At 39.7% G+C, this 23963-nt stretch overlaps 2 protein-coding genes across 49 annotated transcripts in view; one reads left to right on the forward strand and one right to left on the reverse strand.

The window, feature by feature from the left end:
- CCDC66 (coiled-coil domain containing 66) overlaps window positions 1-17499 on the forward strand; it is a 64682-nt gene extending 47183 nt beyond the window's left edge. For 17 of the 40 annotated variants that reach the window (NR_148366.1, NR_148374.1, NR_024460.2 and 14 more), the window contains 8 exons: window positions 9251-9412; window positions 10790-10934; window positions 11584-11715; window positions 12774-13267; window positions 13834-13874; window positions 14933-15189; window positions 15439-15563; window positions 17194-17499. Coding sequence is in view for 26 of the 40 variants with exons in the window: in NM_001353160.1 (NP_001340089.1) it covers window positions 9251-9412; window positions 10790-10934; window positions 11584-11715; window positions 12774-13267; window positions 13834-13874; window positions 14933-15189; window positions 15439-15563; window positions 17194-17280 (1443 nt within the window). In the remaining 14 variants the exon portion in view is untranslated. Of the gene's footprint in view, window positions 1-9250; window positions 9417-10789; window positions 10935-11551; window positions 11716-12773; window positions 13268-13833; window positions 13875-14932; window positions 15190-15438; window positions 15564-17193 lie in introns of those variants that run through there. The other 23 variants (XM_047448017.1, XM_047448018.1, XM_011533616.4 and 20 more) reach the window with 5 other exon arrangements.
- The window catches only part of TASOR (transcription activation suppressor), a 63134-nt gene continuing 54964 nt past the window's right edge, over window positions 15794-23963 (reverse strand). For 6 of the 9 annotated variants that reach the window (NM_001365636.2, NM_001365635.2, NM_001363940.1 and 3 more), the window contains 5 exons: window positions 23244-23403; window positions 22699-22807; window positions 20490-20668; window positions 20141-20305; window positions 15794-19228 (listed from right to left, as the gene is read on the reverse strand). In NM_001365636.2, coding sequence (NP_001352565.1) covers window positions 18699-19228; window positions 20141-20305; window positions 20490-20668; window positions 22699-22807; window positions 23244-23403 — 1143 coding nt within the window. In that variant the 3' untranslated portion in view covers window positions 15794-18698. Of the gene's footprint in view, window positions 19506-20140; window positions 20306-20489; window positions 20669-22698; window positions 22808-23243; window positions 23404-23963 lie in introns of all 9 variants that reach the window. The other 3 variants (NM_001365638.2, NM_001365637.2, NM_001112736.2) reach the window with 1 other exon arrangement.

Here is a 23963-nt window from a genome sequence, read left to right on the forward strand (position 1 = left end):
TGCTCATTAGTTGATGCAGTTTCTTCATAGTGTCGATGGTCTTTACAATTTGGTATGTTTTTGCAGTGGGTGGTACCAGTTGTTCCTTTCCATGTTTAGTGCTTCCTTCAGGACCTCTTGTAAGGCAGGCCTGGTGGTGACAAAATCTCTCAGAATTTCCTTGTCTATAAAGGATTTTATTTCTCCTTTGCTTATGAAACTGAGTTTGGCTGGATATGAAATTCCGGGTTGAAAATTCTTTTTTTTTTTTAAGAATGTTGAATATTGGCCCCAACTCTCTCCTGGCTCGTAGAGTTTCTGCAGAGAGATCCGCTGTTAGTCTGATGGGCTTCCCTTTGTGGGTAACCCGACCTTTCTCTCTGGCTGCCCTTAACATTTTTTCCTCCATTTCAGTCTTGGTGAATCTGATGATTATGTGTCTTTGGGTTGCTCTTCTCCAGGAGTATCTTTGCATTTCCTGAATTTGAATGTTGGCCTGTCTTGCTAGGTTGGGGAAGTTCTCCTGGATAATATCCTGAAGAGTGTTTTCCAACTTGGTTCCATTCTCCCTGTCACTTTCAGGTACACTAATCAAACGTAGATTTGGTCTTTTCACATACTCCCACATTTCTTGGAGGCTGTGTTTGTTCTTTTTCATTCTTTTTTTTCTAATCTTGTCTTTTTGCTGTATTTCATTAAGTTGATCTTCAATCACTGATACCCTTTCTTACGCTTAATCAGTTTGGCTATTGATACTTGTGTATGCTTCACAAGGTTCTTGTGCTGTGTTTTTCAGCTCCGTCAGGTCATTTATGTTCTTCTCTAAACGGTTATTCTAGTTAGCAATTTGTCTAACCTTTTTTCAAGGTTCTTAGCTTCCTTGCATTGGGTTAGAACAGGCTCCTTTAGCTCGGAGGAGTTTGTTATTACCTACCTTCTGAAGCCTTCTTCTGTCAATTCGTAAAACTCATTCTCTGTCCAGTTTTGTTCCCTTGCTGGCAAGGACTTGTGATCCTTTGGAGGAGAAGAGGCGTTCTGGTTTTTGGAATTTTCAGTCTTTTTGTGCTGGTTTCTCCCCATCTTCATGGATTTATCTACCTTTGGTCTTTGATCTTGGTGACCTTTGGATGGGGTCTCTGAGTGGACATCCTTTTTGTTGTTGATGCTAATCCTTTCTGTTTGTTAGTTTTCCTTCTAATAGTCAGGCCCCTCTGCTGCAGGTCTGCTGGAGTTTGCTGGAGGTCCATTCCATATCCTGTTTGCCTGGGTATCACCAGCAGAGGCTGCAGAACAGCAAAGATTGCTGCTTGTTCCTTCCTCTGGAAGCTTCGTCCCAGAGGGGCACCCGTCACATGCCAGCCAGAGCTCTCCTGTATGAAGTGTCTGTCAGCCCCTACTAGGAAGTGTCTCCTAGTCAGGATACATGGGTGTCAGGGACCCACTTGAGGAGGCAGTCTGACCCTTAGTAGAGCTCGAATGCTGTGCTGGGCGATCCACTGCTCTCTTCAGAGCCATCAGGCAGGGACGTTTAAGTCTGCTGAAGCTGCACCCACAGCCACCCCTTCCCCCTGGTGCTCTGCCTCAGAGAGGTAGGGGTTTTATCTATAAGCCCCTGACTGGGGCTGCTGCCTTTTTTTCAGAGATTCCCTGTCCAAAGAGGAGGAATCTAGAGAGGCAATCTGGCCACAGCAGCCTTGCTGAGCTGCGGTGGGCTCTGCCCAGTTCGATCTTCCAGGCCGCTTTGTTTACACTATGAGGGTAGAACCACCTACTCAAGCCTCAGCAGTGGTGGGTGCCCCTCACCCCACCAAGCTTGAGAGTCCCAGGTCAACCTCAGACTGTTGTGCTGGCAGGGAGAATTTCAAGTCAGTGGATCATAGCTTGCTGAGCTCCCTGGGGATAGGACCCTCCGAGCCTGACTACTTGCAAGGCTCCCTGGCTTCCGCCCCCTTTCCAGGAGAGTGAACAGTTCTGTCTCACTGGCATTCCAGGCACCACTGGGGTATGGAAAAAAAACTCCTACAGTTAGCTCGGTGTCTGCACAAACGGCCGCCCAGTTTTGTGCTTGAAATCCAGGCCCTGGTGGCATAGGCACCAGAGGGAATCTCCTGGTCTGCGGGTGGCGAAGACTGTGGGAAAAGCACAGTATCTGGGCCAGAGTGCACCATTCCTCACAGCATGGCACATCCCTCATGGATTCCCTTGGGTAGGGAAGAGATTTCCCTGACCCTTTGCACTTTCTGGGTTGAGGTGGCGCCTCACCCTGCTTCGGCTCGCTCTCTGTGGGCTGCACCCACTGTCCAACCAGTCCCAATGAGATGAACTAGGTACCTAAGTTGGAAATGCAGAAATCACCCGCCTTCTGTGTCGATCTTGCTGGGAGCTACAGACCGGAGCTCTTCCTATTCGGCCATCTTGCCAACAACCCTCCATCTTCTAGAATTTTTATAGTTTCAGGTCTTAGGTTTAAGCCCTGAATCCATCTTGAGTTGATTTTTGTATAAGGTGAGAGATGAGGATCCAGTTTCATTCTCCTATATGTGGCTAGCCAATTATTCCAACACCATTTGTTGAAAAGGGTGTCCTTTCCCCACTTCATGTTTTTGTTTGCTTTGTCGAAGATCAGTTGGCTGTAAGTATTTGGGTTTATTTCTGGGTTCTCTGTTCTGTTCCATTGGTCTATGTGCCTATTTTTATATGAGTACCATGCTGTTTTGGTGACTGCGGCCTTATAGTATAGTTTGAAATCAGGTAATATGATGCCTCCAGATTTGTTCTTTTTGCTTAGTCTTGCTGTGGCTATGTGGGCTCTTTTTTGGTTCCATATGAAGTTTAGAATTGTTTTTTCTAACTCTGTGAAGAATGATGGTGGTATTTTGATGGGGATTATGTTGAATTTGTAGATTGCTTTTGGCAGTATGGTCATTTTCACAATGTTGATTCTACCCATCCATGAGCATGGGATGTGTTTCCATTTGTTTGTGTAATCTGTGATTTCTTTCAGCAGCGTTTTGTAGTTTTCCTTATAGAGGTCTTTCGACTCCTTTGTTAGGTATATTCCTAAGTATTTTATATATTTTTTTGCAGTTGTGAAAGGGCTTGAGTTCTTGATTTCTCTGCTTGGTCGCTGTTGGTATATAGAAGAGCTACTGATTTGTGTCCATTAATCTTGTATCTGGAAACTTTGCAGAATTATTTTATCAGTTCTAGGAGCTTTCTGGAGGAGTCTTACAGACTCCTAAGGTAAACAGTTATATTGTCAGCAAACAGGGACAGTTTGACTTCCTCTTTACTGATTTGGATGCCCTTTATTTATTTCTGTTGTCTGATTGTTCTGGCTGGGACTTCCAGTACTACGTTGAAGAGGAGTGATGAGAGTGGGCATCCTTGTCTTGTTCCTGTTCTCAGAGGGAATGCTTTCAACTTTTCCCCATTCAGTATTATGTTGGCTGTGGGTTTGTCATAGATTGCTTTTATTACATTAAGGTATGTCCCTTGTATGCTGATTTTGCTGAGGGTTTTGATCATAAAGGATGCTGGATTTTGTCTAATGCTTTTTCTGCATCTATTGAGATGATCATGTGATTTTTGTTCTTAATTCTGTTTATGTGGTATATTACATTTATTGAGTATGTTAAACCATCCCTGCATCCCTGGTATGAAACCCACTTGATCATGGTGGATTATCTTTTTGATATGTTGTTAGATTCAGTTAGCTAGTATTTTGTTAAGGATTTTAGCATCTATGTTCATCAAAGATATTGGTCTGTAGTTTTCTTTTTTGGGTGTGTCCTTTCCTGGTTTTGGTATTAGGGTGATGCTGGCTTCATAGAATGAATTAGGGAGGGTTCCTTCTTTCTCCATCTTGTGGAATAGCGTCAAAAGAATTGGTACCAATTACCTGAATGTCTGGTAGAATGCTGCTGTTAATCCATCTGGTCCTGGACTTTTTTTGTTGGTAATTTTTAAATTACCATTTCAATCTCACTGCTTGCTATTGGTCTGTTCAGGGTATCTAATTCTGATTTAAGCTAGGAGGGTTGTATTTTTCCGGGTCTTTATCCATTTCTTCTAGGTTTTCTAGTTTATGTGTGTAAAGGTGTTCATAGTAGCCTTGAATGATCTTTTGTATTTCAGTGGTGTCAGTTGTAATATCTCCTGTTTTGTTTCTTAGTGAGGTGTTTGGATTTTCTCTGTTCTTTTCTTGGTTAATCTTGCTAATCTATCCATTTTATTTATCTTTTCAAAGAACCAGCTTTTTGTTTCATTTGTCGTTTGTTTCAATTTCATTTAGTTCTGCTCTGATGTTGGTTGTTTCCTTTCTTCTGCTAGGTTTGGTTTGTTCTTGTTTCTCCATTTCCTTGAGGTGTGACCTTAGATTGTCTGTCTGTGCTCTTTCAGACTTTTTTGATGTAGGTGTTTTAGGGCTATGAACTTTCCTCTTAGCACTGTCTTAACTGTATCCCAAAGGTTTTGATAGGTTGTGTCATTACTGTCGTTCAGTTCAAAGAATTTTTAAATTTTCATCTTGATTTCATTTTTGGCCCAGTGCTCATTCAGGAGCAATTTATTTAATTTCCATGTATTTGTGTGGTTTTGAAGGTTCCTTTTGGAGTTGATTTCCACTTTTATTCCACTGTGGTCTGAGAGAGTGCTTGATATAATTTCAGTTTTCTTAAATTTATTGAGGCTTGTTTTATGGCCTGTCATATAGTCTATTTTGGAGAAAGTTCCACGTGCTTTTGAATAGAATGTGTATTCTGTGGTTGTTAGACTAAATGTTCTGTATATATCTGTTAGGTCCATTTGTTCCAGGGTATAGTTTAAATCCATTGTTTCTTTGTTGACTTTCTGTCTTGATGACCTGTCTAGTCAGTGGAGTATTGAAGTCCTCCACTATTATGGTGTTGCTATCTCATTTCTTAGGTCTATTAGTAATTACAAGTTTGGGAGCTACAGTGTTAGGTGCATATATGTTTAGGATTGTGATGTTCTCCTGTTGGACCAGGCCTTTTACTATTATGTAATGTCCCTCTTTGTCTCTTTTAACCACTGTTGCTTTAAAGTTTGTTTTGTCTGATATAAGAATAGCTATCCTGTTTGCTTTTGGTGTGCATTTGCATGAAATGTGTTTTTCCGCTCACATAAACTTAAAGTTTAGGTGAGTCTCCTAAGAGGGCAGATGGTTGGTAAGTTCTTATCCATTCTGCAGTTCTGTATCTTTTAAGTGGAGCCTTTAGGCCATTTACATTCAATGTTAATATTGAAATGTGAGGTACTGTTGCATTCATCATGCTGTTTGTTGCTTGCGTACTTTGGATTTGTTTTTTGTTTTTGTTTTTTAACTTGTATTTTTGTTTTATAGGTCCTCCTGTGTGATTTATGTTTTAAAGAGATTCTGTTTTGATGTGTTTCCAGGATTTGTTTCAAGATTTAGAGCTCCTTTTAGCAGTTCTTTTAGTGGTGGCTTGGTAATGGCGAATTCTCTCAGCATTTGTCTGAAAATGACTATATGATGCTTAGTTTTGCCAAATACAAAATTTGGCTGATAATTTTTTTGTTTGAGGAGGCTGAAGATAGGGCCCCAATCTCTTCTAGCTTGTAGGGTTTCTGCTGAGAAATCTGCTGTTAATCTGATAGGTTTTCCTTTATAGGTTACCTGGTGCTTCTGTCTCACAGCTCTTAAGATTCTTTCCTTCGTCTTCACTTTGGATAACCTGATGACACTGTGCCTAGGCAGAGATCTTTTTGTGTTGAATTTCCCAGGTGTTCTTTGTGCTTCTTGTGTATGCATGTCTAGGTCTTTAGCAAGGCCAGGGAAGTTTTCCTCAATTATTCCCCTAAATATGTTTTGCAAGCTTTTAGAATTGTCTTCTCCCTCAGGAACACCAATTATTCTTAGGTTTGGTCATCCGAGCTCTGAATTTCTTTCTTCTACTTGTTCAATTCTATTGCTGAGACTTTCCAGAGCATTTCATATTTCTAAAAGTGTGTCCACTTTCTTTGAGCTCTAAATTTCTTTCTTCTCCTTGTTCAATTCTGTTGCTGAGACTTACCAGAGCATTTCACATTTCTAAAAGTGTGTCCAAAGTTTCCTGAATTTTTGGTTTTTTCTTTAAGCTATCTATTTCACTGAATATTTCTCCCTTTACTTCTTGTATCATTTTTCTGATTTCCTTGCATTGGGCTTCGCCTTTCTCTGGTCCCTCTCTGATTAGCATAATAACTAACCTCCTGAATTCTTTTTCAGGTAAATCAGGGATTTCTTTTTGGTTTAGATCCATTGCTGGTGAAGTAGTGTGATTTTTGGGGGGGTGTTGACGAGCCTTGTTTTATTATATTACCACAGTTGGTTTTCTGGTTCCTTCTTATTTGGGTAGGCTCTGTCAGAGGGATTGTCTAGGGCTGAAGAGTGTTGTTCAGATTTTTTTGTCCCACAGGGTGTTCCCTATGTATTACGCTTCCCCCTTTTCCTGTGGATGTTGCTTCCTGTGAGCCTAACTGCAGTGATTATTGTCTGTCTTCTGGGTCCAGCCACCCAGTGAGTCTACTTGGCTCCGGGCTGGTGCTGGGAGTTGTCTGCACAGAGTGCTTATGTGAACTGTCTGTGGCTCTCTCAGCCGTGGATACCAGTGCCTGTTCTGGTGGAGGTGGTGGAGGATGCAGTGGACTCCGTGGGACTCCTTAGCTTTGATGGTTTAATGCTCTATTTTTGTGCTGGTTGGCCTCCTGCCAGGAGGTGGTGCTTTCCAGAAAGCATCAGCTGTAGTAGTGTGTGGAGAGGGACCAGCCATGGTGAGGGCCCTAGAACTCTCAAGATTATATGTCTTTTGTCTTCCGATACCAGGGTGGATAGAGAAGGACCACCAGGTGGGGGCGGGGCTAGGTGTGTCTGAGGTCAGGCTCTCCTTGGGTGGGTCTTGCTGTGGCTGCTGTGGGGGACGGGGATGAGATTCCCAGGTCACTGGAGTAGTGTACCTAGGAGGATTATGGCTGCCTGTGCTGAGTCATGCAGGTTGTCAGGGAAGTGGGGGAAAGCCAGCAGTCACAGGCCTCACCCAACTCCCCCACAAACCAAAGGGCCAGTCTCACTGTGTCCCCCGACCCCCTCAAACGCCTGCAACATCCCCCGAGTCTGTTTCCAGGTATAGGGCCCAGCTATGAAAGAAGACCTCCCCAGCTGCGAAAGAAAACGGCTTTAGTTCTTCCCCCACCTGTGGAGTCTGCAAGCCCAATTCATGCCCACCCCCCACCCCCCACGCCCAGTTCTGGCAAGGAAGCTTCTCGTCCTGTTCAAGTTGTTACAAAGTTCATCTAGAGAAGTAATTCTCCCTGTGGAGTTTTAACCCCTGCTCCTCTGGCCACCCTCCTGATGGATCCCTGTGGTGCCAGGCAGGGATGGGATCCTTGGGGATCCCACGAGCTCCCAGTGTCTTTCTGCTACTTCCTCTACCCATGTATTTCACTGGGCTCGGCTCTCTAACTTGACTCAGCCCCAGGTAAAGTCGGGAGCTTCTCCCGCAAAGACTTTCAGCTTCTCCAGTGGGGGTGTGTGTTCGGGAGAGGAGGGTCTCCCTTTCCCACTTCCACAGTTGGGTCACTCACAGTATTTGGGGTGTCTCCCAGCTCCTGCAGCAGCAGTCTGCTTTCTTCAGAGGGTCCTCTAAGGATTGCTGGTCTGTTCTTGCAGTTGATCTATAGCTAAAATTCACAATGCAAGCCTCCACATGCTGCTGTGTCTGGAGCTGCAATCTAGTCCTGCCTCCCATCTGCCATGGTCCTCAACTCCTATTTCCTTGCTTTTTTACATATTCTGCACCTTGATATCTGCATATCTGGTATAACGATCACTTCTTCCGATTTTTTGAATTTGCTTTCATATCTATGATGGTGGTTGGGTAGGCACTTTGGCTTTGATTCTGGGTATGTGCAGTAGTGTAATCTCTATAGACTTTTTTTTGGCCGAAAACAGTATCTGTGGTATCTGTAATTTCCTTGGTGGCTTAGGGTGCAGTTGTTCGTGGAGGCTGTGGTAAAGTTTTGTTGTGAACGGGGACACCAAATGGACCAGTCGTTAGGTTGCAGGATGCTAGCAGTAGGCTGAGCATGCCTGTCCTTGGGCCCCAGGGCTGTATACACTGGCATCAGTGGTAGCAGGTCAAGCCAGGCCAATTATTGGGCTTCTAGATGGCTTGCTCAGGTGCTGAGAATGGTGACAGTGGGTTGGGTGGGTGAGTAGGTTTTCAAGCCACTGGGCAGCAAACATGGGCAATGGCAGTAGTAGTAGTGGGACAACCCTCTGGGATCCAAGCAGCCAGTGGTGGTGTTGGCGGTGGCTATAATGGGCTGCGTGGGCCAGTCCCCAGACTTGCAGGTGGCATATGAGGGTGGGTGCCAGCTGTGATGGTAATGGCAGGTTGATTGGGCCCATACTCTAGGAGGAGTGCTCAGGTGCCAATGGTGGTGTCCTGGGCAGGGCAGTCCCCAGGTCCCTGGACCAATGTGCTTGGTTACTGGTGGAGATGCAGCAAGGCTGGGCAGACCTGCCCCCGGGTTCCCAAGGTGTTGTGTGCAGTGCTGGCTGTTGTAGGCAGGGGTGGGATGATTTCCCAGGCCACCAGCAGAATGCTTAGGTTGGGGCAGTAGCAGCTGCATTGTAGCTCTGCTACTAGGGAGGGTGGGTTTGCTTTCAGTGGGTTGCTCTTGCAGATGGTGAATGTCAGTGGGGCTCTAGGGATGTGGAGATGCAGGGGCTGTTGGGCCCCAGAGCAAGATGCAGGACCACTAGGGACTGGGCTCTCAAAATAGTGCCATGCTACAGTTCCTTAGGTCTTGGGTGTTTGTGGAGCCTAGTGTGAGCTCCCTCTTGAGCAGTGCTTTCATGTGGTCTCCAGGTAACGCCCTGTTAGTCTTGAGACCCACAAGAGTCAAGGGGCTGTTTGATGGTTAGGATTGTAGGAGTCCTTGATGGGCATGTGGATTGCTGGGGATTGCTCACTTTCCTTTTCCTCCAATTAGGCAGCCTCTGTAGACTCCTAGCTAATCCTGTCAAGACAGGCTGCTTTGCTTTCTTCCTTGCTTTTGATGCTTCCTGTCATGTTGAATTCCACTGTTCTCTGTTAGATCTACGTGAAGTATGATTGTCTACTCATTATTTTGGTTCCCCTCTGTGGAAGAGGTGAGCACTGAATGTATCTAGTCAGCCATCTTGAATTCCCTCCTGCTTAGATTTTTATTTTTGACAATGATTTACGTGATTGCTTATGACTAGAAAGCCATCACTGCCCAGGTAGAAGAGAAGCGCAGGAAGAAACAACTGGAGGAAGAGCAAAGAAAGAAGGAAGAACAAGAAGAGGAGCTTCGCTTAGCACAGGAACGTGAAGAGATGCAGAAACAGTATGAAGAAGACATACTTAAGCAAAAACAAAAGGAAGTAGGTACTTACATTCTAATTGTAACTTTGGTTTTTGTTTGTGTTTTTGAGACAGGGTCTCACTCTTTTGCCCAGGTTGGAGTGCAGTGGTGCAATCATAGCTCACTGCAGTCTTGACCTCTGGGCACAAGTTGTCCTTCCACCTTGGTCTCCTCAGTAGCAGGGACTACAGGCACGTACCAACACATCTGGCTAATTTTTTTGTTGGTCTGTGGAGACAGGGTCTCACTATGTTCAAGCGATCCTCCCACCTCAGCCTCCTAAAGTGTTGGTATTACAGGTGTGAGCTACCATGCTTGGCCTCCTAATTGTAACATTTTAGAATAAAAATGGATATGTTTTTAAAGGAAAAATAACCAGAAGTTGAACATTTCTATTATTTTGAATTGTGAAGCTATGTATGGAAATGTCAGACCTTCACATAAAGTTAGCAAAGAGAGAAGCTTGAGAAAGTTTTATTATTTCACATGATATAGTTCTCAAATGTTATATTGGTTTGGCTTTTTCTGTTGAGGAGGTCAAGATGAATTATTACAGCACAAAGCAAATTACCTATGTGCTTCATTTTTATCTACTCCTAGTTTTTTTGCTTCATTTCTAAGCAATAATTATTATATCAATAATTATTCTAGGTATGTTAAGAGAAATGATTGGCCTATCATTATCCACTTAGGAACATACATTTGCAGAATAATTGGCTGGGATTGATGATACAATTTGTGACTGTTAGAGATCTCTGTGTTAAATGGCCTTTTTAAAAAGTAGATACCTAGTTGGCTAGGAGAACCCTAAGTGGTGCAGACAAGATAGGTATGTATGGTGGTGGTACCATATTTGAGCTAACCTAACAAAAATACTCACTTGCTAAAGTTTTAAAGTGTAGAGCACTTTAAACATTTTCTTGCCTTTTGCTGCAGTTTTCCCACTTGGCAACCTTCACTCCAAAATTGGCTGGTAAAGGGACACATGGTCTGGGTTCCAGTTTCATTGAGTTGATAGGCTGAGCCAGTTACCCCTAGGTAACATGAGGAAATCAGTAAAGTATCATTTGAACCGCAAGAAATGGTCATAAATCTTGTGTTTACCTTTTAAAATCTATTTTTAAATGTAATAAAAGTTTTTAAAACTTTGAAAACTTTTAGTATAAATTTGAAATGGGTAAAAAGAGTTATATTTGTGATTGAATACAGCTGTAGAAAAAGATGTTAAAATGTAAGCTCCAAAAGGGCAGGAACTTTGCCTTGTTGACTGTTGTACCCTTAGTGTCTAAACAAGTGCCTGATACATAGGAGAAGCTTAGAAAATGTTTACTGAGAGGAAATAGTCAAGTCTTTGTATGTTTAATAGATGAATTTAGTAACACATCAATATTGACAGGAAATCATGACTCTCAAGACAAATGAGCTATTCCAGACAATGCAGCGAGCACAGGAACTGGCACAGAGACTAAAACAAGAACAAAGAATCCGAGAATTGGCGCAAAAGGGACATGACACTTCTAGACTGATTAAAAATCTTGGTGGTAAGGGCCTAACCAGAACTTTATTTATAATATTTTTAGAAGATGATTTTAAATAATTCCTTTTTATCTTTGTTTGGAGACAAGGACTCATTCTGTTGCACAGGCTAGAGTGCAGTGGTGCCATCACAGCTCACTGCAACCTCATATTTTTTGTAGACATGGAATCTCGCTTTGTTGCCCAGGCTGGTCTTGCTGCCTTCAGATGACTCTCCCACCTTGGCCTCCCAAAGTGTTGGGATTACAGGTGTGAGTCACTGCACCCAGCCTAAATGATTGCCTATTTTTAATACCTTCAATATACCTACTATTCTTGTAGGAATATCAGACTTTAAACTAGTATAATTTTATAAATAGGAATGCTTAATTTATGTGGAAAATTGCAATAAAAGCAGAACTAAAGGTTAAAATGTGTTAATGTTAAAATAATAGGTAAAATGTGTACTTTTTGTGTCTATTTTTACCGAGAACAATTATTAAATGATCTCCCTAAATTCAGTAACTGATAGGAATGTGGGTACTTTTTGTAAGAAAATTTTTATTGCAGTGTTCATTCTGATTAAGTGAAAATTATTGTATTTAGTTGCTGCTATACATAATTTTTATTAATATTCCTTAAGTGTTGTTTTATCAGGTGATTTCTCTTTGCCAGTTGATACAATACAAATGGAATATAATGCATCTAACATTTCAAATTCAAGACATGATTCTGATGAAATCAGTGGTAAAATGAATACATATATGAATTCTACGACTTCTAAGAAGGATACTGGTGTGCAAACAGGTATTTGTGTGGAAATTGTGGTTTGGTTTAAAATTTACTTAAAGTCATAATTAAAGCAGTTAGAATTAAGTTCAATTTAAAAGTTCAAAAATTAACAAAACTTGAGGTTTTCAGTAAGAGTTACAAAATAAAGGGATAACAGCTTTGTTGAAACATGTCATGTACCACAAAATTTATCCTACAGTTTAGTCTTTTTTGGTATTCAGTGGTGCAACCATTACCACAATCAATTCTAAAACATTTTGATCACTCTAGAAACACTGTACCCATTACTTGCCACTTTCTATTTCTCTTTTCTCCTCCAGTTAACATTCTGTCTCTGAATATTTTTGCCTGTTGTGGACATTTCACGTAACTGGAATTAGACCACATAACGGTCTTCTCTGGCTTCTTTCTCTCTTAGCATGTTTTAAGGTTCATCCATGTTGTAGCATGTGTCAGTACTTCATTCCTGTTTGTCACTGAATAAATATTACATTTATAATACCACATTTTTATTCATGAGTTGATGAACATTTGGGTTATCTCCACTTTTTGGCTATGAATATGCTGCTGTGAACATTCATATATAGATTTTTGTGGATGTACATTTTTAGTTCGAGAGAAGAGTAGAATTGCTGAGTCATGAGTAACAGGTACTGTATGTTTAGCATTTTGAGGAACCACCAAACTCTTCTCCAAAGCAGTGGTACCATTTTACATTCCCACCATCAGTGCATGTGGGTTCTGATTCTCTATATCCTTGCCAGCCCTTGTTATTCTACTGGTTGTGAAGTGGTATCTCAGGTGGTTTTGGTTTGCATTTCCCCCCCAGTGACTGATGATGTTGAGCATCTTTTCATGATTATCAGTTCATAGAAATGGAAATTAGAGTGGTGGCTGCCAGTGGTTGGGAGTATGTGGTTGTTCTTTAATGAGTATAGAGGTTCGGTTTTGTTGAAAATTAATGAAAGAAAAAAGTCTTAGAGGGCAATAATTGTTTAATGTTTTGGGGAAAATTATTTAATATTGAAAATTTTGTTTACAATTTTTAAAAATCATTTGCAACTTTTTTTTAGATGACTTAAATATAGGAATATTCACCAATGCAGAATCACATTGTGGATCATTAATGGAGAGGGACATCACAAATTGTTCATCTCCTGAGATTTCGGCAGAACTTATTGGACAGTTTAGCACCAAGAAAAACAAGCAAGAACTAACTCAGGATAAAGGAGCCAGCTTAGAAAAAGAAAACAATCGGTGTAATGACCAGTGTAATCAGTTCACAAGAATAGAGAAACAAACAAAACACATGAAGAAATATCCTAAAAGGCCTGATTGGAATATAAATAAGCCACCTAAAAGGTATATTCCAGCATCAGAAAAGTACCCTAAACAGCTTCAAAAGCAGAGAGAAGAAAAAAAAGTAAGGAGGCAGATGGAATTGCTTCATTTGGTAGAAAAAAATAATCCTGGGCACCTCTCTCAAAACAGAGGCATTTCACCAGAAATTTTTCATTCATCTCATCAAGAAACGGAGTCAAAGTTGAGGTGGCATCTAGTCAAAAAGGTAAAGCTCTTCCATCTTAGATGATGTGTTGACGTTTCTGGATTCAAAACACAGTTTCTCATACGTATGCTTTGGTAAGGCTGTTCTGATCTGTTTCAGTTTACATTAGGGATCAGCAAACTATATCCCATGGGCAAATCCAGGCTGCTGCCTGTTTTTGGAAAGTTTTATACGAACATAGTCAACTCATTCTTTTATGAATTGTCTGTGGCTGACTTCACACACCAGACTAGCAACAGAAACAATATGGCCCACAAAGCTGAAAAGGTTTCCTTATGCTTATCGAGTCCTTTACACTTACACAACTTCTGTAGATGGATGCTGTGTATTCAAATACCCCTTTAAAACCCTTGTTTATAGTCCACATAGACAGAGGTTTGGGAGATTAGGAACTCCCAAGGATTAGTTTTGACTCTGGAAAAAACTATATCTATTCCATTGCTCAGTCAGTACCTGTTATTCAAATATTACCCTCAGACTATTTCAACAAGTAGCCCTAAAAATATTTGTGGGGACATGTGAAGATGCTATATATTCCTTTCTGCATTTATCTATCCATATTTTAGGAAGAAGAGCCTCTGAATATTCATTCATTCAGCAAGGAAAGGTAAGTATGCATCAGATTAATTCCGCAGCTACTTAATGCTTTCTATGTGGGACAAAAAAGGGATTCAAGATCTGGACAGCATCATATGGTATATGTAGAGAACAATCAGAAAGGGTGTGGCTTCCAGGTGAGGGTTAGAGGTTTAAGGGATAGTGTGGCACTTTAGCAGGAGCTTGAAGGCCCAAGTTGGACTGGGCCTAGGCAGGAATGTAGATAACATTTACTTTTATCTCTAGACTTAACTAAGTGATTTTGATATTCCAGGTATGTCATTAGCAGAATAGGCATTCTGCTTTGGGAGGAGGGATGGCTGGGGGCTGTGAATGGGAAGAAATGACTGATAAGGACAATGAGAAATTCAGTCAGTTAATGAGAGATTTAGAACCATTAGAATTTTTATTCTTTGTGCATGAACCAGCTGGTTTAGTTGTCTCAGAATGGGGCTCTAAAAACAAGTTTCATTCAAATGGTGAGTACATTATTGTATGGTGAATTATCTAAGGAGAAACAGTAGGCTCAGATTAACCAAGCCAGCACTGTTCCTCAGGATCTAGGAATTAAATTTCTCCCTTGTGCTACAGTACACATACCATAGCTAGTGCTAGTAAAAACATAAATGAATACCATTCTCTTCCCCGGTTTTATGGAACAATATTATAGAGTTCAGGCTTCTATGCATACATTCCCAAAGGTGTTACAGGTACATTTAGAATAAAGTGAAATGGGCCAGGCATGTGGCTCACGCCTGTAATCCCAGCACTTTGGGAGGCCGAGGCAGGTGGATCCACCTGAGGTCAGGAGTTCAAGACCAGCCTGGCCAACTTGGTGAACCCCGTCTCTACTAAAAATACAGAAACTAGCTGGGCACTGTGGCGTGCGCCTGTAATCCCAGCTACTTGGGAGGCTGAAGCAGGAGAGTTGCAGTGAGCTGAGATCGCGCCACTGCACTCCAGCCTGGGCAACAGAGCGAGACTTCATCTCATAAATAAAGTGAAATGTGATTAAAGAGATATACTTAATCTAAATACACAATTTTTTACTATTTTTTTTTTAAATAGGTCTCCATCATCACCAGTTCCAGTAGTGAAAAACAGAACCCAACAAACTCAAAATACATTACATTTACCACTAAAAAACAGTAGCTATGAGAGAGAGAATTTGATCTCAGGAAGTAATCAAACAGAATTATCATCTGGGATTTCTGAATCATCCCATTTTATTCCGTATGTTCGAACAAATGAGATCTATTACCTTGATCCCGATGCACCATTGTCTGGGCCTTCAACCCAGGACCCTCAGTACCAAAATTCACAAGGTAAGTAAATATTAAGCATTCTAACTGTAAAAATTGAAGACCCATGTAAACCCCGTCAACAACTTTAAATTCCAAATTAGTAATTCCTGCACTTAGTTCTATAAAGTTTCTTGAATATGTCTTAAATTTTTCTTAGTACTTTCCTAGGATACATACTTATTATAATGACTCCTGACAATATTATATAGCACAGGGCTATGTCATTTTACTAATGTAATTGACTGACTTGTTACTTTCATCTGGCTTTAGACTGTGGCCAAAAACGACAGCTATTTGATTCTGACTGTGTCAGGGATCCACTTCTTAATCCTAACATGGTGAAAAATAGGGATCGACAGCAAGCAATCCTTAAGGGACTTTCAGAACTGAGACAGGTATGAGCTTTTTCAAGTGTAGATATGTCTGTTCTTTATGTGGCGTGGGCGGTTGGGGGAACCTGTTGAACGGTTTGTTTTAAGTTACTTCGGTGCATCCCAGGATTTAACAAAAATATTTCAGTTCCTGTATGTTTGTTAGACACAAATAAAATGGGACTTTCCTAAGACTTGCTTTTACACTGCCGTCTTTGAGTAGTTCTTTCCAGTACGAAATCATCAGACAGTTCTAAAATTAAGACAAGTTTATTGAGTAAAAAAATGCATACATTGGAACGGCAAAACATCAATAAGGCCCTAAAACAAAAAATACAGTTATGCTTTAACAAATTCTTAGCAATGTGGCCCACGCTTTTTAAAAAATTGACGTGTTGGCAGTGTTTGTTAGAACATTGACGTACATCCCAAATAGTAATAAATTCAGTATGAAATTATACGCATAACCTTACTCACCATACTACTTTTTCTCCCAAACTATTGTGACTTCTTTTTGCTCTCTGATTAAAACAAACAGGTAACATCCTTACACCTTTGCTCCATCCCTTGGGCTTTAAAAAGAATGGCTGTAGTTAGTTTTGATTCACTATATACTCTCTGTACTTGAGGAAGAGTAAGCTGTGTTTAAAAGTGCCCTTTTCCATGTCGTCATGTACCAATACCCTCTGCATTTCAAAATGTTGACTCAGATGTTTTTCCCTCTACAGAACTAGAAAATTGTCCCCCCACTTTGGTCTATTTACTCATTTGAAGACAAACAGGGTTACTAAGAGTTTTACATAAGTTATTTCTTTAGAGTGACGAAGTGTTAGTTTACTTCTTGCTTAGTGGAGACAAAAATTGTGAGATAAAGAGGAAGGAATAGGATGTACACATTTACCCATCAATATAGCACCCAGTGTTATTTCAGCAGGACCCTTCTGTTAGCATCTAAGGTAAGGTTAGGACAGTCAAGATAAAATACTGGATGTTGGCCAGGAGCAGTGGCTCAAGCCTGTAATCCCAGCACTTTGGGAGGCTGAGGCAGGCAGATCATGAGGTCAGGAGATCAAGACCATCCTGGCTAACACAGTGAAACCCTGTCTCTACTAAAAATACAAAAAGTTAGTTAGTTAGTTAGCCAGGCGTGGTGGTGGGTGCCTGTAGTCCCAGCCATTCGGGAGGTTGAGGCAGGAGAATGGTGTGAACCTGGGAGGCAGAGCTTGCAGTGAGATTGCACCACTGTACTCCAGCTTGGGCGACAGAGCGAGACTCCATCTCCAAAAAAAAACAAAACAACAACAACAAAAAAAAAACACTGTATGTTAAGGGAGACTCCTTCAGTATCTAAGAGCACTTGGGGGTGGACTGGGGGAGAAGGGATGACTTCATTTACCCCCATAGTTATGGAGTCTTGAGTTCTAAGAAAATTTTCATCCCTATTGATTTTTATGCTAAAAACAGAATCTTACAAATGTGATAGCTATATATCCAAATGAGGTGGTCTAGTACAAGCATTTCTGAAAAAATTTTTGAATGACAAAATTTTATCCTAAGCGATATGTTTTCCAAGTGAATATAATTCTAGTTTAACACAACATTGCAAGTCAGGTGTGCACATTTTACTAACAAACATATATCAATGTGATTTCAGGGCCTTCTCCAGAAGCAAAAGGAGTTGGAAAGTAGTCTCCTGCCTTTAGCTGAAAATCAAGAAGAGAGTTTTGGTTCTTCATTTTAAATGTAGAAAATCAAATCCTTCACATTTGATTTGTGTCTTCCAAATTATAAAATGTGCTCACTGGCTCAACTGTATTTTTCAAATAGCCTAGATTTACTTATTTTTTTAAATGCTCATTAAAAACTTGTATACTATGTAGTAAAATGCTGTACTTGTTCTATACAATAAAACAGATACTTCTTTTGTAAAAGCTTAGTAGTAAAAAAAAAAAAAAAAAAACCGGTTCTTCTGCTCTGTCACCACCTGGGTATTGAAGCCCTATAAAAACACTTTCTACTTACCTTAATATAGTCTGGCGTTGCTGGGACCTCACAGTGTTCTTTCACACTTTTTATGTAACTTAGGAACTGAAATACCACTCATGCATTTGTTCTAAAGTGCCAAAGTTCTGTCTAACTTATTAACACGTCTAGACCCATAACTCCATAACTTTTACTGAAATAACACAAATTCAGTTTAGGCTCCTTCTCTAAATCCTGACATTTATTTGCACTATGACATTTATTTGTAGAAATTGCAATTTTCAAAAACATTTTTAAAAGTTAGCATTAGTAACAAGTTAGTAATTAGTATTAGAGGCAGTAGTTAGGAATAGATACGGGTTTGAAAGCTATCTCCACTGTATCTGTCTAGTATAGCATTAATGTGTTCAACAAATGGTAATTACTACTAAGACCACCTCAAAAATATATTCCCATTATACTTCCATTTTGCTAAAACTAATTTAAAAATCAAATTGTTCAACGCCTTTGATAAACAGAAGCCTATCTTTTGAAATAAAAAATTTAATTTCATTAAATCAAGGATTGCGCAGGTACTGAAAATTATCCAATACTCTCAAAAAGTTACCAGAATTTTAGCAATAGGCAGTTTTTACATGACTAAGCCTAGAGATAAAAAATGTGTCCTATGTACATAGTTTATTATCTAAATGAAACTGCACTGTTAGATAAATCTTGAGGTATCGAGCCAAAATCCTGTAAATATTAACACTGCTATTACTGACTTATACCTGTGTAAACACAGTATACAAAAGCCTACATCAAAATAATTCACTTCAACAAAAGTACTTTATATCAGGTGACATTAGAGAAAAAGAAGTAAAGCCTTTGCTGTTTACCGTCCTCCTGCAAGCATCTGATTTTACACATAAAACAGGCTTCAATTTGAAGCCTAAGTACAGGTAACATACAAAAAGTAAAACTTAGAAGTGCCAACATGAGATAATTCAAGTACAATATATGTTAAAAATATATATTTATTTCAATTTTTAGATGCTTCAACTGTTACAGGCCATCATGATTTAAATAAAAGAAAAAACATTTGAGAAAGAACAAGAACCTTTTGTTTAGAGAATGAAATATAAATTGTTAATAAACAAAGTCCACAACAATCTCTTAAAAAAAAAGTTACTACAGTTATTTCTCTTGTGAATATGGCCTGGAAGAATCACTTTTCCCCCAACTTAAGGGAGGTGGAGATTTATCTCTATCCAAGCTTTCAGTATAAGCAGATAAGAAGTAATTCTCATTTTCTTGAGACTGACTTGATGAAAGGGCATATGGTGTCCCCAAAAATGTCTGATGAGTGAGAACATTAAAATGACTAAACTGATGGGACATATTTAATTGACTATGATAAACCTGAAAGTTACTATATGAATCTTGTTCTGTTGAATTGCTGTTCTCTCCTTCAGAGCATACTATATCAATAGAAGTTCTCTCTTCAGAATCAAGGTAAGTCTTATCTTCTAATAAACTGTTTTGCACATCAGGAGACGATTGCAACTCAATTTGAGTATTCTTTTTTTGATCTGTTCCACGTGATCCTTTGGTCTCTTTCTCCCATATTTCTGAATGAAAATTGCTGCATACTTCTATATGTGAGATTTCATCCCCTGAATCCAGAGACATATCCTCTTCATCCTTTTCATCGTTTTCTAAAAGAGCTACATTTAAAAAACAAAAAGTCCTCCTCTATTGAAATACACAGTTTGTTTAAGTTTTAAAATTATACACTACTCACACAATATAACGCGTCAGGGTCTGCAAGTCCACAATCCCTTAAAGCTTGGTCTTCTGCCACAAGTTCACTTAGTCACAACACTCACACTAGATGTGAATGTCCAGATAATCCGATGCTAAAAGCTTCTGCGAAATGTGTTCACGTTTAATGTTGGGAAATCCCAACTCCCAGCTCCAAAGGGGTTAATGTCAAAACAGCATCTAAAGTTATACGGTAATTCAGTATTTGACAAGACAAATATAAAATAAAATTTTTTGACATCTAGCTTCACTGGATTACTAAACTAGTTGGTTAGCACTAAATGAATGATCATTTCTGCTTTTTTTCATCAAAAACAAAAGTACATCTTTCATTTTACACAGAACCTGGAACCAAAGCAGAGGCCATCTCACAAAAGATTAAAGCTATGACAGCTCTACTATCTTGCAATTAAATTGCTTTATGCATGTGGGGAAATCTAGTAGCTCAATGCTAAATCGCCATATCTGGTTTCCTACCTTTTTATTAATATAACCCCTTTGCTGACAATAGTAACCAATAATGCTTACAAAAACCTCAAAGACAAAATGCATACTCCATAGTATGCACTGTCTACAATATAGGTAGAAATGCATAATCTATAATAACTTACAACTTACACTGGCTACAGTATAATAAATGAGCAGATCTTGTGCATGCTAAGTATTAGAATGATAAATGTCTTGAAACACTTTCCCTATGGCTGTTTATACTGAGGTACGTGGTTTCAAAATGGTCATTTCATTATTTGGTAACAGCAAAACCATTCCTCTTTTTCTGTCTGCGTTAAAGAAAATGAAAACCACTGAAAAGTTACCTGACTGCGACTCAAGATTCTCATTAGCACCAAGCTGTGGAAGGTTTTCTTCTGTGATTGAATTGTGATAGCCCACAAGATTTTTAAAGTTTTGCATGAAGTCTTCAGCAGTTGCAACCACTATTCCATTATCTGTATAACTGGAAAGCATCTTGATGTTCTTCTCTAAATTAAGAAAAAAAGTTTCATGTATGAAACACTTCAAAATATAGACAGCCCCTAGCCCTCACAAAATCTTTTCCTTCACATTTTCAGAATCAAAGCTTAGCAATACCCACCACAGCCCCATAAAATCCTTTCATTCACATTCCTATATTCATAGTAGAAAGCTTAGGAGTGCTCTCTTTACCTGTTAAAAAGACTATGTGTCGTTGCTGTATGTTCTGAGCCTGAAGTCTGATAAGGCAATCCAATTCTGGAGCATTTCGAGTTTGTGAATCACAATTGTGGTATGACAAAATTTCAACCAGATGTTTCTTCTGATAGACATTCAGAAGCGTCAACAGACTTAGAGCTTTAGCATTCAATCTGTGAAATTAAGCAGTTCAGTTTCTGGATCTGTACTTCTAAAATTTAGTATGGAAATTTCTGCTTTAGATTAAAATTCAATTTCTCCACTGAGGCAACTAATGACAACTGCACTGCTTTAGCTCTCTGCCTGATGTAGGGGGTGTGCTTCTTTGGAAAGAAAGAAAGAAGGGATAAGTCCAGGGGTTTCTTGGTCGCGAGGCCTCAGGGCCAGCTATACAGCTTAGGCTAAAATCTCAGCTGATTATTCTACTTACTAAATAATAAATTATGATTACCTTTATTAATTTTGAACTTTAATGAAGGACTTAAAGGGACAAAAACAGTATAAATCCTTCCTTCAAAAAACACAATATATGGACCAGGCCTGGTGGCTCACACCTGTAATCCCAAAACTTTGGGAGGCCAAAGCAGTTGGATCACCTGAGATCAGGAGTTCGAGACCAGCCTGGCCAACATGGTGAAACCCCATCTCTACTCAAAATTCACAATTAGCCGGATGAGGTGGCTCATGCCTGTAATCCGAACTACTTGGGAGGCTGAGGCAGAAGAATCACTTGAACCCAGGAGGCAGAGGTTGCAGTGAGCTGAGACTGCTCTATTACACTCCAGTCTGGGCAACAAGAACGAAACTCTGTCTTAAAAAATAAAATTAAATACACTATTATGGCTCTAAGCTATTTCTTTTTTTTTTTTGAGACAGAGTCTCACTCTGTCGCCGATTCTCCTGCCTCAGCTTCCCGAGTAGCTGGGACTACAGGTGTATGCCACCACACCCAGCTAATTTTTGTATTTTTAGTACAGATGGGGTTTCACCATGTTGGACAGGATACTCTCAATCTCCTGACCTTGTGATCCACCCGCCTCAGCCTCCCAATGTGCTGGGATTACAGGCGTAAGCCACCGTGCCCGGCCAGCTCTAAGCTGTTTCTATATTGCAAGGGACAAGGCAACAAGTGGAGATAAGCTTTTAAAAGTGAATTGCTACAATGAATTAAATACTCAAAAATTATTTAAGCCTTAATTTCCTGAACAGTGTACCATGGAATGTCGTATTTTAAGAAATTTTTGTGGTATAAAGTTTAAGGAAATAATGATTGACACAATGTAAATTCTTTTAACTAGAGTTCTTCATATCCTTTAATGTGTAAATACATTTTATAGACTTTACTAGTAGAATATAGTGTCCCAAACATGCCTGATTACCATAATCATTTATGGAATCTCTCAATTGACTAGTGTTCCAAAGATCACACTTGGAGAAGTGACTTCCATGCATTTTAGAAATTATCTATGTATACATGAATTGATGTCCTACTCACAAATCACTTCACCAGGTCAAGATTAATCCTTGTCCAAATATATGTAATTTTATTAGCTACCTATAAAGTAGTCAGTTGGGAGAGGGCCTGATGTAGTTGGCACATACAGTTCAGTTAAAAAAGGAAAATGCTGGCCAGGCACAGTGGCTCACACCTGTAATCCCAGCACTTTGGGAGGCCGAGGCAGGTGGATCACCTGAAGACAGGAGTTCGAGACCAGCCGGGCCAACACGGTGAAACCCCATCTCTACTAAAAATACAAAAATTAGCTGGGCATGGTGGCGGGCGCCTGTAATCTCAGCTACTTGAGAGGCTGAGGTAGGAGAATTGCTTGAACCCAGGAGGTGGAGGTTGCAGTGAGGCGAGATCGTCCCATTGCACTCCAGCCTGGGCTACAAAAGCAAAACTCTATCTCAAAAAAAAAAAGAAAAAAATGCTGATCATTCCATTTGGATGATTACTCTAAATCCACAAATGGCAAAGATTAAACCAATTTTACCTATGCACATAACAACTTCAGCAAACTTCTACTGAAAAATACTGCTTCTTATAAAGGCTAGAATAATTCAGTATCTATACTCAATTATGGCTGGCTATGGACATCTGTGAAAAATGAACATCCATAATCTACAAACATGGGAAGAGAGAAATATTATGAGTACAATGTTAAAATCAACAACCATTATATAGTTATGTTTCAAAGCTTACCTGCCTAGTTCCTTTAGTTTCTTCTGAAATTTACAGTGGACTTTCCATTGCCATTTTCCTTCTGGAGTACTAAGTTCCTCAAGGAATGTCAAAAAATTTTTAAGGTTCTCTGTTAGAGATAATGAAGTTTGTTTTTAATTCAATAAATAATCATTCCATAAGTGAATTATGAAAGAAGTGTTTTTTCATATTATGTAGAAACACCTACTTTCCTATGTACTATTTTCATTTCTCTTTGTCTAAGGGAGACAGATCTATACATGCCTAAAGCTCTAATAATATAACATCTACACATAAAAAAGAACATGTTGATGACAGTAATACAAGAAGTGATTCAACTGCAGCAGGGGCAGACAGCCTTGCTTTACACCACATTTAGAGGATATTATTGGTCTAAGAGAAGGAGAAAGAAATTTGAGGTAATAAAAGCTCAAGAAAAGACTGAAATGTACTAGTTATCTGTGAATGGCAGAATAAATGGACAGTACATTAAAAAGTATGAGAGTCAGAAGAGGAGTTACGTGCTCAAAAGAACATCATCTTACCAACTGTGACAACCTCTGGGTTTAGAATTGATTCATCAGATACGATAAAACCTCCAGATACAAATAATTCATTGTATGTATGATTTTTAACATCATCCAGGCTATCAACACCAGCAAAACTAACACAGGGGAGCTTCTTTAAAGTCACCAAGCCAGGTATCTGTTTAAATCCCAAAACAAAAAGAGAAACAGATGGAGGGAATGAATTGACAGACTCAAGTGTGAAGGAACCTACAAGAAGTCTAACAGAATGCATTATGGCTCATCTATATTAGTGGATTACCTCTGGAAAGCCACACAAATAATATTCCCAACATTATTTCCCAATATATAAACCAACATTTATGTACTGGGACCTACCACAGACGACTAAGGAAAAGGAGCTTACAATAGACCTGAAAACACAAAATGGACAAAAGCTGACCTCTCTATAACCTGTGAGTACAGTCAGAATTCAGACGAAGGCAAAAGCCTATGTGCTCGAACAGTCAATCAGGAAAGACGTCCAAGATGTAGGATGGAGATAGGGCTCCTAAGACTAGATGGGATACCTCAAAATTTAAGGGAAAAGGGGACTGGTCTGGCAAAGATGGAGCACAAATAGGTTTTTCCTAGGACATACAAATGAAGATGAAAACATTATGTAGTCAGTCAGCAGACCCAATGGCATTCAAGGATTCAGTACTCTTATTAGTCTTGACTACCTGAGTGACAGGGAAG

This window comes from Homo sapiens, chromosome 3, assembly GCF_000001405.40.
Source record: "Homo sapiens chromosome 3, GRCh38.p14 Primary Assembly".
NCBI lineage: Eukaryota > Metazoa > Chordata > Mammalia > Primates > Hominidae > Homo > Homo sapiens.